Raw genomic sequence first — 20,040 nt, forward strand, 5'->3', positions numbered from 1 at the left:
GCAGACCCCGCAGCTCCTGCTGTGCCCCTCAGCTGCCATTAGAGTCCCCATGGGGTCCCTCCTGCCTGTGTCTCCACAAGAGGGACCCCATGGGGACTCTAATGAGAGCCCTGCATCCTACCAAGGAGCCCCCAGAAGTCGGGCCCTGCGTGTCCAAGTGTCCATCTCACAGGAAACTTATGTTGGCAGATGCTCTTGTGGCTCTTGTCTGACCTGTGTCCAGTTTATTTCTACCAAGATAGCCAATCTAGGAGAGCTCTGACCAAGAGAAAAGTCAGGTTCAAGTGTGCCAGTAGAATGGACAGAGGCAACAAAACCCATGAAATAGCAGAAGCATTTTCTTACAGCACCAAAGATGAGAAGAGTAAAAATGAGGGCCAGTAGGAAGGTTGCAGGTACAATATGCTCAACCGGGGGCCAGACAGAAAGATGAACCCATGGGCCAAGGCCTTTGTTTGGGGTCCAGGGTGTTCTTACCCAAGCAGGTCTCCTTCAGAGAGTTCTAAGTGGTGGGTTTAGAGCAAGCAGGCATGCATCCCATGGGGTCATGCTGTGACTGAGAAGTCACTGTGGCATATCTGTGTAGTCTGTGTGGCATGTGGGGTCAGTGGGGCCAGTTGGGCCAGTTTAGTGGGTTGTATCTAGCTGCCTTGTGGAGAGGTGGTAACCAAGAGCCAGTTGTATAAGGTAGATATGTGGATTAAGAACATTGAGAAACTAGGAATAGGCAGAAAGCTGGAAACTGTGTCCAGGGTGACTAAGCCAGCTTCTGGAATGAGAAAGTTAAACCTACTTTCAAAACAGATGCAGAAGTGACATGATAGGAATTCATTACATCCATGGTCAGAACTAAATGTATTTTATAGTTCATTTATTTTAGTTTACATGAAGTCTACTTATATTAGCATACAAATATTCATAGTTATGTAACAACCACCCCACTCAAGACACAGAACTCTCTTATCATCCTCAGTGATTCTTATGTGCCGCCCCATTTTAGTCAACCTGTCCCTCATCCTTAGCACCTGGAAACCACAGGTCTATTTTCTGTTCTTATAATTTTGCCTTTTCCGAAATATCATATAAAAGGATTTTTTTTTACGTAGGCTCCTTTCACTTGGATGAATGCTTTTGAAACCCATGTTGTTGCTTGTATCAGTAGTTTCTTCATTTTAATAGCGGAGTTGTAGTTCTTTGCATGGATGTACTATATTTTGTTTATCTATTTACCTATTGAAGGACATTTACGTTGTTTCTACATTGTGGTGGTTAGGAATAAAGCTGCTAGAAATATTTGTTTACAATTTTTTTGAGATGGTCTTGCTCTGCTGCCCAGGCTGGAGTGCAGTGGCATAATCATATCTCACTGCTAGAAATATTTGTTTACAATTTTTTTGAGATGGTCTTGCTCTGCTGCCCAGGCTGGAGTGCAGTGGCATAATCATATCTCACTACAGCCTTGACCTCCTGAGCTCAAGCCATCCTCACAGCTCTGCCTCCTGAGTAGCTGCGACTACAGGTGGACGCCACCACACTTGGTGTTTTTTTGGTGAAGATAGGGTCTCACTATTTTGTCCAGACTGATCTCAAACTCCTGGCCACATATGATATGATTTTGCCTATGGATCTAGTGGCTCCGGCACTATTTCACTACTTCAGTTATTTGTTGAAGAAACTGCTTTCTCCATTGAACTACCTTTGTATGTTTGTGAACATATATAAGTGTATTTGTTTACAGATTCTCTACTGTGATCCTCTATTCTAATTTTGTCTAAAATCACACACTCTTGATTACTGTAGCTTTATAAGAAGCCTTGAAATCAGATAGTGTAAGCCTTCTTCAACTTTATTCTTTTTCAAAACTGTTTTTTCATTCCTTTGCCTTTCCATATCAATTTTCTATAAAATGTCTTGCCATGATTTTGATTGAAATTGCATCGAAATGATAGTGTAAGGAGAATTGACCTCTTAACAAGACTGAGTTTTTCTTTCTTTTTTCTTTTCTTTCTTTTTTTTTTTTTGAGACACAGTCTTGTTCTTTTGCCCAGGCTGGAGTGCAATGACACAATCTCGGCTCACTACAACCTCCACCTCCTGGGTTCAAGCGATTCTCCTGCCTCAGCCTCCTGAGTAGCTGGGATTACAGGCACATGCCACCACATCCAGCTAATTTTTGTATTTTTGTTTTTTTCTTTATTGTATTTCTATTTTCAATTTTGTAAGTGCTCTTTTTGTATTTTAGTAGAGATGGGGTTTCACCATGTTGGCCAGGCTGGTCTCAAACTCCTGACTTCAGGTAATACACCCACCTTGGCTTCCCAAAGTGCTAGGATTACAGACGTGAGCCACTGTGGCTGGCCAAACTGAGTTTTTCAATCTATAAACATGCTATATATCTCCACTTATTTAGGTTTGCTTTAATTTTTCTTCACTTTTTTGTTTTCAGCATACAGAACTAGCATATATATTGGTGTGTGTGTGTATATATATATATATGTCTAAAATTTTCATATTTTGTTAAAGATTTCTATTTAAAATCTTGATTTTCATATATTCATTGCTTATAGAAATTCAACTGATTTTTGTATCATGCCCTTGCATTCTACAACCTTGTTAAACTCAATTATTCTAGATTTTAAAAATTTTATTGCAATTTTCTATGTAGACAGTCATGTTATCTAAGGATAGATAGTTTTATTTCTTCCTCGTCAATTTTATGCCTTTTATTTTTTCTTGCCTTATGGCATTGGCTAAGACTTCCAGTACAATGGTTAACATAGGTGATGAGAGTATACACTCCTACCTGTTTCCTGGCCTGATAAGAAAGAATTCAGTCATCAAGTATGCTGTTAGCTATAGGTTTTTTATAGCAGCCCTTTTTCAGTTTACCAATGTCCCCTTTTTGTTACAATCAGATATTGAAGTTTTTCAAATGCTCTTTTTGAATCTGCTGAGATGATCATTCATCTACTGATATGGTGAATTACATAGATACATTTTCAATAATGAACTAGATTTGCATTCCCAGATTAAATCCCAACTAATCGCTACTTAAAACCTTTTCTTGTTATACTGCTGGATTTGATATGGTAATATTTCATTTAGGATTTTTGCAGCTATGTTCATGAGAGATATTAAGTTTCTTTACTTGTAATTTCTTTTCCTGGTTTTGGTATCAGAGTAATACTGCCTTCATAAACTGCATCAGACAGAGTTATTTTCCTTTATATTTTTTAGACAGTTTATGTAGAGTTGGTATTATTTATTTTTAAAAGGTTTTATAGAATTTGCCAGTGAAGCCAATTGGATCTGGAGTCTTTATTGTTTTTTAGTGGAGAAGGATTTTAAATGTAAATTTAATTTTCTTAACATATATAGGACTATTTAGGTTTAGCTATTTCTTCAATAAAATTTGGTAGTTTGTGCCTTTTAAAAAATGTGTCCAATTCATCTACATTGTCTAATTAATAGGCATATAATTATTTGTAATATTCTTGCAATATCCTTGTAGTACTTGTAGGTTCTTCAGTGACCCTGATATTGGTAATTTTTGTCTTCTCTTTTTTGTCAGTATGACTAGAGGCTTATTGATTGATATTTTAAAAGAATGAGTTTTTTATTTTTCTTTATTGTATTTCTATTTTCAATTTTATTATTATTCCCTTTCTTCTGCTTGTTTTGTATTTTATTTGCTCTTCTCTTTCAAGTTTATTAAGGTGGTTTATCACTAATTTTGAGACCTTTTCTAATCAATGTCTTTCTAAGCACCATTTTAGCTGCATCCCACAAATTTTGAACTCTTCACTTCCATTTAGTTCAAAATATTTACCAATTGACATCTACTTCTGCTTGGATTCATGGGTTATTTAGAAGTATGCTGTTTAAATCTCAAATATCAAGTAGTTTTTCAGACATCTGTAATTTTTAGTTTAACTATTTTATGTTTAGAGAAAACATTTTGTATAGTTTCAATTTTTAATAATTTGTTAAGGTGTGTTTTATGGCTTAAAATGCGATGTATCTTTATCAATGCTCTATGTGTACTTGAAAATAATGTGTATTCTGTTCTTTGTTGGGTGGGGATATTCTAATAGATATAGTGTGTGTGTGTGTATATATATATATATAATTATATATGATACAATGATACATAACGACCTATAGATCAAGTTAATAGCATTGTTTAAGTCATAGTTTTAAACTGAATTTTCTGGAGCCCTGAAGTCCAATCTCTGGGTTGGAAGAGGATCTTTAAGTTTGAATACAGAATCCAATCAAAATAGATCTGTTTTTGTTGCTTGTCAAGTCTATCTATAAACACTGCCTTGAAGCCTGCAGTCTGCACACACCAGATTGTTTACTAGCTCCGGGTTCTAATGTTCTGGGACCTAGAGATATTGTGTTAGTCTATAATAGTTTCATGCATGAGCCAATTCTTTTCTGAATTCGATTTTAATATCCCTGAGTATTTCCTAAAGGAAAGGAGGTTTTCTGGACTGTTATACTGGCTAGGCAGAAACAAAGAAATTAGGGTGCTTAGGCCACCACATGTTGTGTCTGTAGCGCTATGCAAGACCTGCCAACATTCTACCGCGGGCGGCATTCCTTTGGTCTCCTCCACAACCACAGTCCTTCCAGTCTTTCATCCTTCCTCCAGTTTCCTGGTGTGTAGGGCCAGTTCTGCCAAGCAGCTCCCAGGGGTGAACTGATAACGAAATGCAGTCTTAGAAGGCTGAGAGACAGAGGCTTGAGAGAAGCCCACAGCTCCATCACATTCCACAAACCACTCTTCAGAGGAGCAGAGCGAGTTTCGGATCACAAAGCTGGGTAACGGCCAGTTCAGAGCCCAGATCTTCTGCCTCCCAGCCCTGTGTCCCTCTTGGGACATACACACCCCTTCACAAGGGGACTGACCTTCTGGGTGACTTGCAGACTAATGGGCCTTCAAGACCCCAAGTGACAATTTTCCAGAGACATAATTTATGTATTAAAGCTGGCTAGTGGGGGATGTTTCTTGAAGGTAGGGTAGGTGGTTAACAGGTTTTCTTTATATTTAATCACCTAACAAATCTTATACCAGAGCACACTCCCCTTATAAAGGGAGGGCTGATCGCGGTCTAGGTGGGTGGGCTAGGCCTGGGGGCGGGTAAAGAAGGAAAATTCTCAGGGTCTTGCACGCTCCCCCAACTCCTGCGTTTACCAGGATCACCACGTTTAGAGTGGAGCCCTTTATCTTCCGCAGCAAGGGGTCAAACGGCTGGCCTTATGCGTATTTTTGTCTTTCCTGGGTGCGCCCGGAGCTAAGAAGGGAAACCGTGGCGGTTAGAGACCAGAAGTAGGCTCTGTCACTATGGAAACCGAGGACGCTGGGGCTCGTGCCCTCCTATTGGGGCTGAGTTGCTGAGTCTGCGCAGTTTTCATCTCATGTCGGTCACGCCCCCAGCTGCGCTGCACGCTGGCTCTCGGGTTCAGCCCGAAAAGTGGAGACTGAGGAAATAGGTGGTGGTGAATACAACATTCTTTCTCATGAGACACTCACCGTGTGGTTGGAGAAATTACGTAAAAAAAAACAATTTCAGTTTTTAAAAAGTGCCATTAATAACAGAGGAGTGCAAATCGAGACAGCACCTTCTGAAGGATAAATAATTTACCAGTGTAATGTGTAGGAATAACGGATGCTGTGGGGCACCCGGTTCTACTTCCAGACTCAAGAATGTGTTCCTCCAGTTGCAGGGTGTGTTGCTAGCAGAAAGCGTTGCTAGCAGAAAGCCTTCAATTGTAAGTCCTCTTCTGAGTTGCCTAAGCCAAAGAGAGTTACACACTGAAGGTCACGCCCGTTTCCTGGACAGTTCACATCCAATGACGCATCAGTGACATGGAGTATAAAGCCTTTCCTGATTGCCTCAATCCTGGGCAATTCTTGCAGGTTGTCCCAGCTTCAGAGCTCCATGTGCTGGGCGGTGGATTTCAACATCTCATGTTGAACGGCTATGGCAGTTCAACATCTCACTCTGCCCAATTCTGCTTTCTTCCACTCTGTACGTTTTTCTATTAGTGGTGATTTCATGAACAAAAATGAGAAATTTTCTACTGTGAAGCAGCTATTTTTATTTTCATTAATCTCTTCTTTAAACAGAAAACAGTACCTTTGGTCAGTTTTAAGCCCTTGGAAAAAAATTTTTTTTTCACTCTCTGGTTACTAAGGAAAAGTCTGCATTTCAATCATTGCATGTGACAGACTGCCACGGTTACTACTTGAGACCGTCAGTGGGGCAGTTACTACTGTCACTACTTGAGACCATCATTACAAGAGTGAATGAAGGGACGAACATAGAAATGAAAACTTAAGACAACAGAAACTGTTTTAAAGGAAGGGGCCAGAGGAAGAAGAAGAGAGCTCCCTGCTTCTAGTGAGCAAAGGCAGCCCCTGAGCTTCTACAGCCCTTCGTATTTATTGGGTAGAAAAAGCAAGGAAGAGGAGGTAACGATTGGTCAGCTGCTTAACTGATCACAGGTTCATATTATTACTAACAGGCTTCAGATGTACCTAATCACAGGAAACACTGCGCTTGGGGTGTGACTGCCCTCAGCATTCCTTCTGGGTGGCAGACGCAGTTTGACAGTTTGCCAACATTCTGCATTTATGAGAACAGTTTGCTGTTTACTCATATAGCCTCCAGTGGTATACTGAGTTGATCACGACCCTCACTCTTTTGGCCTGCAATAATTGTACCCCTATATGTGTTGTTTTCCTTCAGCTGCTTTCAGTAATTTTCCTTTACGTTTGGTTTCGGTGGTTTAATTACAACATGTTTGGGTATGGTTTTCTTTTTTTAGTCTATTTTTGAGCCCGTTTGGGGTTCATTGAGCTTCTTGAATATGTAAATTTATGTATTTCACTAAATTTGAGATGTTCTAGCCAATTTTTCCAAATATATTTTTGTGCGCACTAATCTCATTTTCTTCTTCTGAGACTCCAATTATATAGAAGTTAATTTTTTCATGTATTTATTTATTTATTTATTTACAGGGTCTCTCTCTCTCTCTCTGTTACCCAGGCTGAAGTACAGTGGTGCCATCAAGGCTTATTTCAGCCTTGACCTTCTGGGCTCAAGTGGTCCCCCTATCTCAGTCTTCTGGGTAGCTGAGACTACAGGTGCATGCTGCCATGTCTGGCTATATTTTTTTTAATTTTTAATTTTTGTAAAGACAGGATCTCACTATGTTGCCCAGGCTGGTCTTGAACTCCTGGGCTCAAGTGATTTTCCTACCTTGGTATTGCAAAGTGCTGGGATTACAGGTGTGAGCTATCATCATGCCTGGTTAACTTGGATTTTTTATATTGTTCAAAAAGTTTTCAAAGCTCTGTCCACTGCTTTTCTTTTCTCTCTCTCTCTCTCTGTCTCTCTCTCTGAGATAGAGACAGGATCTTGCCCAGGCTGGTGTTGACTTTTTCTAGGTTCAAGTGATCCTCCTACCTCAACCTTCCAAGTAGTTAGGACTATAGGCATTCCACTGTGCCTGCTTCATTGCTTTTCAGTCTTATTTTTCTCTATTTTTCAGATTGTATAATTTGTGTTGACCTATTTTTAAATTCCCCAACTTCTTCCTCTGTCATCTCCATTCCGCTATTGAGCTAACACGGTGACTCAGTGTTTTAGTCCATATTCACGTTGCTGATAAAGACATACCCGAGACTGGGAAGAAAAAGAGGTTTAATTGGACTTACATTTCCACACAGCTTGGGGGGCCTCAGAATCATGGTGGGAGGCAAAAGGCATTTCTTACATGGCGGCAGCAGGAGAAAATGAAGAAGCAGCAAAAGCGGAACCGCCTGATAAACCCATGAGATCTCTTGAGACTTATTCACTATCACGAGAATAGCATGGGAAAGACCGCCCCCATGATTCAATTACCTCCCATTGGGTCCCTCCCACAACACGTAGGAATTCTGGGAGATACAATTCTAGTTGAGATTTGGGTGGGAACAAACCCAAACCATGTCACTCAGTTTTATGTTAATTACGTTTTTGTATTTTTCAATTCTGAAGTTTCTATTTGGGCCTTTTTCATCTGTGGAGAATTTCTGATTTTCCATTCATTTCAAGGGCATTCACCTTTACCTTGTGGAAGATGATTACATGGCTGCTTTAAAGTCTTGTATGACAATTCCAGTGCTTGATTTTTTTGTGGTTGGCCTAGAGAAAGGTTAGTAAGGACTTTTTAGAAAAGTCAAATTTGTGTGACTCTATCTGTAGGTATAGCTTGGAGATGATGGCAATAATCATAATATGTGAAATGTGTAACTGTGTAGTGCTCCATAGTTGATAAATACTTACACATATAAAATCTGGCTGGGTGCAGTGGCTTATGCCTGTAATCCTAGCACTTTGGGAGGCCAAGGCAGGTGGGTCAGGAGTTCGAGACCAGCCTGGCCAATATGGTGAAACCCTGTCTCTACTAAAAATACAAAAATTAGCCAGGCATGGTGTTGCACGCCTGTAATCCCAGCTACTTGGGAGGCAGAGACAAGAGAATTGCTTGAACCTGGGAGGCGGAGGTTGCAGTGAGCCGAGATTGTGCCACTGCACTCCAGCCTGGGTGACAGAGTGAGACTGTCTCAAAAACAAACAAAAAAAACATCTTATTTGACCCTCACAAGTGCCTTATTAGGCAAACAGAAGAAAGGTTATATTATTCATGTTCAGTTTAAGCAGTTTAGACTCAGGAGCCTAAGTCCTTTGCCAGGCTGTACAGCCAGTAGTAATAAATTCGATATTAATAATAAATCTTCCTACTCTGAGTGCTGTAATTAGCCTTGGGCTGAAGTTAGGGCATAGGCTCAGGGAAACTCAGGACGGGAGAAACTAGATGAAAAAGCTAACGGAGCAGCCATAGCATTGACTGGGCATGGTGAAGACCAGGGTTCTGAAAGCTGAGGATCACAGTGGACCTGGATCAGGACATAGATTTAAAAATGCAATTAAGCTCCAAGGTTTAGAATTCCAGGCATGGGAACAGGCAATGCAGAACAAGGAACTAAGAATCAGCTCAAGTGGGGACCACAGCGGCAGGAGAGGAGAACACAGATCTACCAAAGACCTCTAGGACAGAAACTTTCAAGGTACTTCTTGCCAGGGGTAAGACTGAAGCTAATATCTAGAATTCAATTACAAAATCGCACTTTGGTTCCTCCATGCTAACTTGAGGTTGAACACAGAACTCTAGAGCACAGACAAAATCAATATCTGCATGTGTTGCGGCTTCCTAAGGCCAGCTCCAGTTTTGATGATTTGCCAGAAGGGCACACATGACTTAGCACATAGTCATAATCATGGCTAAGATTTGCTGCAATGAAAAGATACAAGGCAAAATGAGCAAAGGTAAAAGGCACATGAGGCAAAGTCCAAAGGACCACAGGCACAAGTTTCCAAGAGTTCTCTCCCAGTGGAGTTGCACAAGACATACTTCCTCTAGCAATGAGTGTGACAATGTGTGATATGTTATCGGGGTGTCATTAGAGACTGTCCCTAAGGCTTTTACTGGGAGCTGGACATATAGGCATTCCCTGCCTACCATGTACCATGATTCCAGATACCCAGATGGAAAGCAGTTGTTCAGCATAAACCATACTGTCCACACAGTCTAGGCACAGTGAGCCACCCTTATCATTTAGGGAAAGTGTTTTATTTTATTTTACTTTTTTAGAGGCAGGGTCCTGCTCTGTCACCCAGGCTGGAGTGTAGGGGTTTGATCAGAACTCACTGCAGCGTTAAACTCCCAGGCTCAAGCAATCCTCCTGTCTCAGCCTCATAGTAGCTAGGACTACAGATGTGTGCCACCACACCTGACCAATTTATAAAATATTTTTGTAGAGACGGAGTGTTGCTATATTGCCTAGAACTTCTGAACTTCTGACGTCAAGCAATCCTCCTGCCTCAGCCTCCCAAGGTTATAGGATTACAGGCATGAACCACTGTGCCCGACCAAGGGAAAGTTTTATATCAGTGTAGGTACCTGTTTACCAGTTAAGTTCCCAGATGTCAGCCAAGGGCCAACTTTGCAAGCAGGCCTTTCTAAGAATAGCAGTCTCAGGTCTGCTTTGCTAGTTCTTTTCTACACATTGTATTATATACTGATGCATATTTTTACCAACATATAAGGGTATGACTGATGTGTATCCACTCTTAAGGCTGTTATTTCTGTAAATTGGCATTTCCAAATTCTTTTTAATATTCTCACGTTAGTATTCTCTCAGTTGCTTTATTTTATTCTTACATTTTAGTTTTTCCTCTCTCATTCTGTCTTCTTGAAACCATCCTCATAATAACATGCCAGGTTTTGGGCTGAAGGGCAGTCAAGCATTAATCAGGCTACACTTTGGCCCACTTCGCTGTAATTGCTAACTAACCGAAAGTCACGTAGGCCAGAACACAGACCATGAACTTCCTCATTGTTCCTATAGATAGCATCTTTAGCATTAGAAGTCTGAAACTTTCCATTCAAGATGATTTTCAGATTCTGAATTCTTTTTTAAAAATTGTATTATTATTATTTTTAGAGACAAGATGTTGCTCTGTCACTCAGGCTGGAGTACAGTGGCATGATCACAGTTCACTGCAGCCTCTAAACTTCTGGGCTCAAGTGATCTTTCCACCTCAGCCTCCCAAGTAGCTGGGACTATAGGTGCTTACCACCGCACCCAACTAACTTTATTTTATTTTTGTAGGAACAGAATCTTGTTCTGTTGCCCAGGCTGCTCTTGAACTCTTGGCTTCAAGAGATCCTCTTGCCTTGGCCTCCAAAAGTGCTGGGATGAATCTCTGTCATGGTGGCATGAGCCACCATGCCTGGCCCAGATCCTGAATTCTAGCAGGACAGCTCATGCCCACCAGTCTGAAGACACCAAAAGGAGAACTGACTCAATGCAAGAATGCAATTTCTTTAGTTCCATGACGTCACCCTTCATTCTTCAACCAATCAGTGATCCTTATACCTTGGCCCACTAACCATCCAAACCCCTTAAAATCCCTAGATCCTAAACTCCTTGAGGAGGTGGATTTGAGGTTTCCTCCAGTCTCCTTGTTTGGCTGCCTTGTGATTAAACCTCTTTCTCTGCTGCAATTCTTTGTGTCTTGGTGTATTTACTTACCACACATTGGACATTTTACCAAGAACTAAAAATAGAACTACCATTTGACCCAGCAGTCCCACTACTGGGCATCTACTCAAAGGAAAAGAAATCATTCTATCAAAAAGACACCTGTACTCCTATGTTTATTGCAGTACTATTCAAAATAGCAAAGTCTATTTATGTTATAATCAGATTTGTATTACAACTGTTTTATATTACAATAGCTTTATATTATAAATATAATTATGTAACCTATATATAGTACTCAGTTACAATTGTTTGTGTGTGTGTAACTATGTCTGTGTTGTAAAAATTATTCTACCAAAATGGGAATGGTAGGTAGAAAGTATATGCAGATAATTTTGTCTAACAATTTTGTCTTTCATTTTTGTCCAACAAATGCACTGTTTACCTTTTGCCACCGTACTCTCTGCCTCAGAGGGCTGACCTTTGTGGACTGTTTCATGAGTAGCCTTTGACTTTTGGCTTACAGCTGGTTTAATCACTGGGGAGGATCACCAGGAGACCTAGAGACTGGGAGGTGAATGAGGGAGGGTGGTTGCTGTCCTGGGAAGTGAATGAGGGAGGGTGCTTACTGTCCCAGATCTTTCCCTGTCGATTCTCTATGGGTTACCAAGTACCCTAGCAAATTTCACAGCTCCTCTCAGATGGCCCTCTCCCATACAGCTGTTCTCAATAGGTTTCCATAAACATTGCCTTCCAGGCTAGATGTAGTAATAGTTCCCTGGTGTTGCAAACTGTAGGGAACCTACTATTGCTTATTGCTTTCCCTAAATACTATCTGCACATTTTGCTGGAATTCTGACTGAGATATGTACTCCTTTTTCTTCAAATAGATTAACTCATGCTTTCAAGTCTTATAAATCTCTTATTACTAAATATTGGAGAAATTTCCTACCATAAAGCTCCTACATTGATTCACCTATATTGTTTAAATAAGAGGCCAATGCTCTAATTTCCAATTACCTCTGAGCCTCTCTGGCATCCAGCTCACATTATAGGTAGTCAGAATTTAAGATATCTTTCATTCATTGTTTGGGTTGGACATTTCATCTTCCCATAAGTAGAAACATTTCAACAAAAATGTGAAGTGTTGTGATATTTGCATCCTAACTTCAAATGGTTGAGAACAAAATTTTCAAAGAAAATGAGAATACAAAAATAAAAAAGTGATTAATCCATACATAGATAGAGATAAACAAATGAGGAAAATATTAGTTGGTAAATCTTGGTGTTCTATGTAGTAGCAGTATTCCATTTTTCTGCAAGTTTGAAGTCTTTCAAGTAAAATATTGAGCAGAAATATTGCTGTGAAGAAATTTTTGACTAGCCTGATTTTTCTATTGTGCATGATATTTTTTCTTTCTTGCTTTAAAGCTTGCACAAATATCTTTTTATTCTTGAAGTTCATTATGTCAATTAAATTGTGTTTCTGTGTTAAGAATCTTACGTTAAAATTTCTCAGAGCATGGCATTTTTTTTCCAGATGGTGGACAAGTGTGGTGCAGCTGTGTATTTACCTAATCTTTTTTCAAAGTCAGAATTATTAAAGATCTAGAATGAACAGAAAAGATTCAAATTAAGAGTGACTATTTGAGAGTCATTAAAAGTCTGTGAAACGAGGGGATGTCTGGGAGTGCAGCTGGGCGGCAGCATCATGACGTCACAGATGAAACACAAGCACTGGAGCCAGGGAAACTGACTCCTCCATTCAAATTCTGACTTTACCATTTGTCAGATGTGGAACCTTGGTCTGATAATGCAACATTTCTGAACCTCAGTTTCCCCATCTGTAATATGGGGTGAATCTCTGTCTTATAAGATTGATGACAGAATTAGAGACAAGGAATGTAGACACTTAGTCTGCAATAAGTAGACTTATTCAGTGGAGCTCAGTAAGTAATTGGTCATTATTTTTCGTACATTAAGGGCTAGGTTACTGAAACCTTACAAATGCTTTCAGAAATTGGCAGGAGGAAACCACACATGTGTACTCAAGCAAGGACACCACACGGAGATACTGTGTTAAGCAGTTAGGCAAGAATAGAGTCAACTAATCATAGCAAGCCTTCTCTCCTCCCCCTATATTACCTGAATGGAAGGAACACTAGAGAAACACAAATTTTTGCTGCAGCATTGCCTTTTCACACTTAGGTATATGTCATTATTCTAGAAGAACATGTACCAACAACATTTGCTTGTTCATTTAAGGCAGTTTTTGCTGCACCTTGTGAAATATCTGTTCCCACAGGTGGCTTTATTTCTTCACAAGTTTATTCGTTTCACTGTTGTAGTCTCAATATTAAAATTGTGTGGTACATTGAAATTGTCAAAAGACAGAAGTTAAGTTCCCTGCCTCATTGGTATGAGCCCATTTAATAAGTTTCCTGCAGAGTTTCTGAGATAATTGCCTTCTTTCTCTTTAGCTGGGTCTGATTATATAACAAGAATAGATCCTATAATGAGAGACTTTATGCAAACATTAGACATCATAATTCCTTTCAAGCAATTAATTACCCTCAAGATTAAGTAAATTGATGCAACACTTGATAAATGTTTCAATTAATTAATTAATTTGAAAATACTTTTATATACAAACCTGAGTACAGCCTTGTTTTTAGTGATGTGAAAGATATTTTCATGAAGGCAGAGGAAAAGAGTACTCAGAAAAAGAGTACTAGCAGGCCGGGTGTGGTGGCTCATGCCTGTAATCCCAGCACTTTGGGAGGACGAGGTGGGCAGATCACCTGAGGTCAGGAGTTCAAGACCAGCCTGGCCAACATGGTGAAACCCCATCTCTACTAAAAATAGAAAAAACTACTGAGTGTGATGGCGGGTGCCTGTAATCCCAGCTACTCAGGAGGCTGAGGCAGGAGAATCACTTGAACCTGGGAGGTGGATACTGTAGTGAGCCAAGATCGCACCACTCCACTCCAGCCGGGGCAACAGAATGAGACTCTGTCTCAAAAAAAAAAAAAAAAAAAAAGCTGTATGTATCAAAACAGTGTGGTAATGGCATCAGGCTGGACATATAGATTAATGGAATAAATTGAGAGTCCAGAAATAAACCCATACATCTACGGTCAATTGATTTTTGACAACAGTGCTAAAATCACTGGAAATCTGAAGTTTCATCTGGGAAGACAAATTGCTGGGCATGACTCCTATGGCTTAGGCCTGAATCACCTAGTTGCTTCTCCACTTATGTCTGGTCCCTGTGCTATAATGACCAGTAAAGTGTGTGCTTTAATGACACAGTAAAGTGTGTGCTGTCAATGACAAGAGTTACATATGGCCTCTCAATGTAGATTGGACTTCATCACAGCATAGTGACTTTGGAGTAGTCATAGTTTTATATGGCGGCTTAGGGCTACTGTGTGTATGTGTGAGCAAGTCAAAAGCTGTATAGCCTCTTATGAGCTAGCATTGGAAGTCACATAGCATCACTTCTACTATACTCAGTGGTCAAAGCAGTCAGAAACTCACGAACATTCAAGGTGAAGAGAAACAGACCAACCTCTTGATGGGAAGGGATTCAAAGAGTTTGAGGCCATTTTTTAAAACTACCAGAATGAAATTTTCAGCCATCACTTTGCAAGCAGAAAGAAATAGAAATTATCCACTTAAAACGTTAAGAATTCTGAGATTTCTGAAGGCAAGGAAAAGGAAAAATATCTATTGTACAAAAAGGACATATTACAGAATGAAATTGCCATGCTAAGAGTGGAACTGAACAAAATAAAAGAATCAAGATCATAAGATCTCAGAAGGGCCAGGTGAAAAAATTATGAAAATTATAAATCAAGATCAGAGAAAATATATTGAGGATATTAACATTTTAACATAAAAGAATTTTGATATTCAAAAGATAATAAAACTGGGCAAAGAAATATTAGCCAAAACAATATTCAGTATAATGGACTACTTTATGCAGTAATACCTGAGAAAGCAGCATTGAACTCAAATTAATAAATGAAAAACAAAGCAAAGAGAAATTGAATATTACGGTTGGATATGTTTTTTTGTTTGTTTGTTTTTTGTTCTTTTGTTGTTGTTTTTGAGACAGAGTCTCGCTCTGTTGTCCAGGCTGGAGTGCAGTGGTGTGATCTCGGCTCACTGCAACCTCTGCCCCTCGGGTTCAAGCGATTCTCCTGCCTCAGTCTCCCGAGTAGTTGGGATTACAGGCACCCGCCACCAAGCCGGTTGGGATATGTTATAATTTATTTGGCCCTGCCAAGTCTCATGTTGAAATTTTATCCCCAGTGTTGGAGATGGGGCCTGGTGAAAGGTACTTGGATGCTGGGGACAGATCCCTTAATGTCTTGGTGCCTTTCTTGCAGGAGTGAGTGAGTTCTCACTTTTAGTTCACATGAGAACTGGTTGTAGAGAAGAGCCTGGTACCTCCTCCTCTCTCTCTCAATTCCTTTCCCACCATGTGATCTGCACACACCAGCTCCCCTTCCTCTTCCACCATGAGTGGAAGCAGCCTGAATTCCTTGCCAGAAGCAGATGCTGGTGCCATGCTTCTTGTACAGGCTGCAGAACTGTGAGCCAAATAAACCTCCTTCCTATGTAAATTACTGAACCTCAGGTATTCCTTGATAGCAACATAAACAGAGTAAGACATTGAATCATCAGGTTCCAATATTTTCATTCGTCTGAACTAAAATATAACCATGATGTGCCTTCTCAATAATGTTGAAAACTAAATGTTAAAGTAGTAACCTACACAATGAGCTTTATCGCACTAAAGTTACCCTCTGAACCAAAAGATATTGGTTAGACCTCCTATCACAGAATGTAAAAAGAAGGAAAGTGAATACATGTGACAACATGAACGCACAAAATGAATATATTATACGATAAAAAACCTTAAAGAAATGATCACTGAAACTACAAAGTAAAAATATATTGTTTTCAAACAATGGGGTAATATGCACAAAAAGATTATGAAATAGAAAAACACAATGACTAATATAAAAGATAAATTGTGTAAGTATGCACAACAAATCAAGCTGAGAGTGAAAAACAAACACATGCTGGAAGAAAGAAATAACTAGTTATTCAAAGAATATCATCACTTGAAAGAAAAAAATAGGTATGAAGTTGGCAAAGCAGAGAGAGGGATTATAGTGTGACAACTTTGATAAGATCTTGCTGATACTATAAAAAAAATCTGCATTGGAGGCCTTCCTGAAGGTCACATACCTTTATCACATTTATTCAGAAAAAAAAGGCTAAAGATATAAAGGAGATAATAGGTCAAATCATATGCCAGTTGGAAGTAGTGCAAGATGGACAAACACCGGTGATGTGGTATGCTGAGAAGGCACAGTAGCAGCAGATGCAGAAGTCTGAAATAGAAAACGCCAGGTTTTCTATGGCATACCAACCTGAGTGTGCCCAGTCTCATCCAATCTCAGAACGTAAGCAGGATTGGGCCTGGTTAGAACTTGGATGGGAAAATGCCAGTTAAAATCTGTACTAAAAAATTTAAGCAGGCAAAATCAAAGTCAAATTGCATCAAAGAATCTGTTAGGGCAAGTTTTTCTGATAAAGCAAAAGAGAAATTAAATACATTTATTATATTAAATAATCGGGACTATTACGTGGACCAAGAGGAGAAAAACAATACATTTTTCATTTTTCATTCAAAAAAGAGATTACTGGATTGATGACATTATAGCAAAATTTAAAAATAGCATATTTTAATGATTAGAGGGTTGGGACTTTGTGCCTCACTTCACAACCTCTGAGGACAGGAGAGAGGATGAAAGTTAAATTGATCATCAATGGCCAAGGATCTAATCAATCATACCTGTGTAACAAAGCCTCCATAAAAACCCAAAAGGACTGGGTTTGGAGAGCATCTGGATGGCTGAATAAGTGGAGGCTCCAGAGGGTGACACACCGGGGAGAGCATGGAAACTCCACACTTCTTCTCGCACATAGCTTGTTCTATGTATCTCTTAGTGTGTATCTTTTATAATATCCTTTATAATAAAAATTGGTAAATGTAAAAAAAAAACTCCAGTATCTTTAAAATGTATGTATCAGAGGCTTCCAGTTTCTGATAATATCCAAGTAACTCCTACTGAACAAATTTTCTTTCACATAACAACTGTAATTTCTGGAAGAAATATTTAAAACAGTTACTTTGAGGCACTAGAGAGAGCGAATGAAAGTAAACAGATAGAAGAAACTGATGGGAAAAGCACCAAACAAAAAGTAAAATTGTAGACTTAAATCTAACCATATCAATAGTTAAATTAAATGATAATGAAGAAACTCTCCAAGTATAGCAAGGCTCAACTATATGCTGTTTACAAAAACTACACCTTAAATATAAAGAGATGAGTTAAAAGTAAGTGCACAAAAAAAACTATATTATGAAAACATAAGACAACTGAGCTGTTTAGTTGTATTACTATTATGTAAAGTAGTCTTTAAGATGAAGAGTATTAACGGTGATAAAAAGGGACAATTCATAATGATAAAAGTTTTTGTTTATCAGGAAGACAAGGCAACCATAAAACTATATTCTCCTAATAACAGAATACAGGACATGAGTAAAAAATCTACAGCTACCTTCCTGTTTATTGGGAAAAGAATGTCTAAATGCTTTCTTTCTGTGATTGAGAACAAGGTAAGATGCCCACTCTATATATTTCTAGTCATTATTATATGGGAGAGCTTAGCTAGTGCATTTAAGCAAGGAAATGAAACAAAAGGCATACAGATAGAAAGGAAGAAGTGCAGTTTGTTTTATTCAACTTGAGTATCTTTCTAAAATTTTTTTGAATCTTCGAAACAGCTATTAGAACTTGCAGCTGAAATTAGCAAAGGACAGCGTCTAAGGCCAATATATAAAACTCAATTATATTTCTACGTACTATTAAGAAACAGTGGCAAAAGAAATTTTTAAAATAACATCAAAATATAAAATGCTTAAGGATAAATGTTATAAAATATGTTCAAGACCTATAAACTAAAAACTACAGAACATTGCTAATAAAAATTGAAAATAACATAAGATTTACTTATCTATTTAAGATACATTATGCTTATGGTTTGGAAAACTTAACATTGTTACGGTGTCTTGTCTCCCCAAATTGCTCAAAATTTAAGAAACCCAAATCCAAGTCCCAGCAGGCTTTTGATGGGGGTAGAAATTAGTAAATGGATTCTAATGGTTATACGTGAATGCAAAAGCAGTACAATAGTGAAGACAACAACATTAGAAGACTCTTGAAATCTCATTTTGAGGTTTATTACAGAGTCATGCAAATTTAAAAGGGCATAGTGGTGCAAGAATAGAAATGCAGATTAAGAGAACGAAAGAGCTGAGAAAAAGAAACCTAACGTATATGGTTAAGTGGTTTTCAACAAAGACGCCAAAGTAATTCATTGGATAAAGCATAGTCTTTTCAACAAATAGTGCAGAAAAAAATAGCTATCCATTTGAAAAGGAAAAAAGATAACTATTTCTTAGATAAGAAAGGATAAACATAAACCATAGAGGGAAAAATTGATAAATGGGACATGATAAAAAATTTAAATACCTGACTTTTGAACAACTTTTTAAAGAAAATGAAACTACAAGTCACATACTGGGAGAAAATATTTGAAATATGTGTATCTGACAAAGGACTTGAATTCAGAAGATGTAAAAACTTCTATAACTCAGTAATAAGAAGACAGCAACACAATAAAAGAAACAGCCGAGAAATGAGAACAGACATTTCACAAAGAATAGATACATGCAAAGAGCAAATAAGTACATGAAAAGATATTTTGTTTATTCATCAGGAGAGTGTAAATTAAATTCTGATAACACTACATACGCGTTAGAAAATATAAAAAGACTGAGATAGCAAGTGTTCATGTGGATGGGAAGCAACTGGAACTCTCAAACATTGCTTCTGAAAACATAAAACGATACAACCATTTTGCAAAACAGTTTGGCAATTTCTTATAAACATACACTTACTATCTGACATAGGAATTCCACTCCTATGTACTTAAAAAGAGAATTAAAAGCATATGTTCCCAATGACCCATTGGTGAATAATTATAGCAGTATTATTTGTAATATCCCAAAACTGGACAGGGATCAAATGTCCACCAAAAACTGTATAAATAAACTAATTGTGGCATAGCCATATAATGGAATACTACTTGGTTAAAAAATAGAATAAAATATGGCTACATGTAACAAGATTGATAAAGAAACCAGATACAAAAGAGTGTAAAACAAGCAAAACTAATTTATAGTTATAAAGAGCAAATTAATGGTTGCTTGGGACTGAGAGTATGAGGTGGTGTATGTGTACTACAAAGGAAATATTCTATATTTTGCTAATGGTGATATGGATGTTTAAATTTGTCAAAACATCAAACTGTATACTTAGAATGGATACATTTTAATGCATATCAATTATACTTTGATTTAATATATATCAGTGTACATAGTATATTTGTCAGTATATTATAATTTTTTAAAGTTAACATGTTTTTTCTGGTTTTCTCTTTCTTAAAAATAATTTTGTATTTTTAAATAGATCACAAATTTGCAGAAAAGCAAAAAATAACTTTCTTCTGAACCACTTGAAATTAAGTCCTTTTTTTCTTTTCTTTTTTTTTTTTTTTTTTTTGAGACAAGGTCTGACTCTGTCACCCAGGCTGAAGTGCAGAAGCACCATCAGGGCTCACTGCAGCCTTGACCTTTCTGGGCTTGGATGATCCTTGCACCTCAGCCTCCCAAGTAGCTGGGGCCACAGGGGCGTGCCACTACACCCAGCTACTTTTTGTGTTTTTTGTAGAGATGGGGTTTTGCCATGTTTCCCAGGCTGGTCTTGAATTCTTGAGCTCAAACAACCCACCTG

The 20,040-nt window shown here is 38.4% G+C and overlaps 1 long non-coding RNA gene and 1 pseudogene across 1 annotated transcript; one reads left to right on the forward strand and one right to left on the reverse strand.

Annotated features, from left to right (window-relative positions):
- Window positions 1–4,433: 4,433 nt before the first annotated feature.
- LOC124904301 (uncharacterized) lies at window positions 4,434–6,963 on the reverse strand. Its single transcript, XR_007066367.1, has 2 exons — window positions 5,201–6,963; window positions 4,434–4,705 (listed from the first exon to the last, which is right to left on the reverse strand). It is a non-coding gene; the product is annotated as an uncharacterized LOC124904301 (long non-coding RNA).
- RNA5SP458 (RNA, 5S ribosomal pseudogene 458) lies at window positions 16,531–16,649 on the forward strand (annotated as a pseudogene).

This window comes from Homo sapiens, chromosome 18, assembly GCF_000001405.40.
Source record: "Homo sapiens chromosome 18, GRCh38.p14 Primary Assembly".
Taxonomy (NCBI): Eukaryota; Metazoa; Chordata; class Mammalia; order Primates; family Hominidae; genus Homo; species Homo sapiens.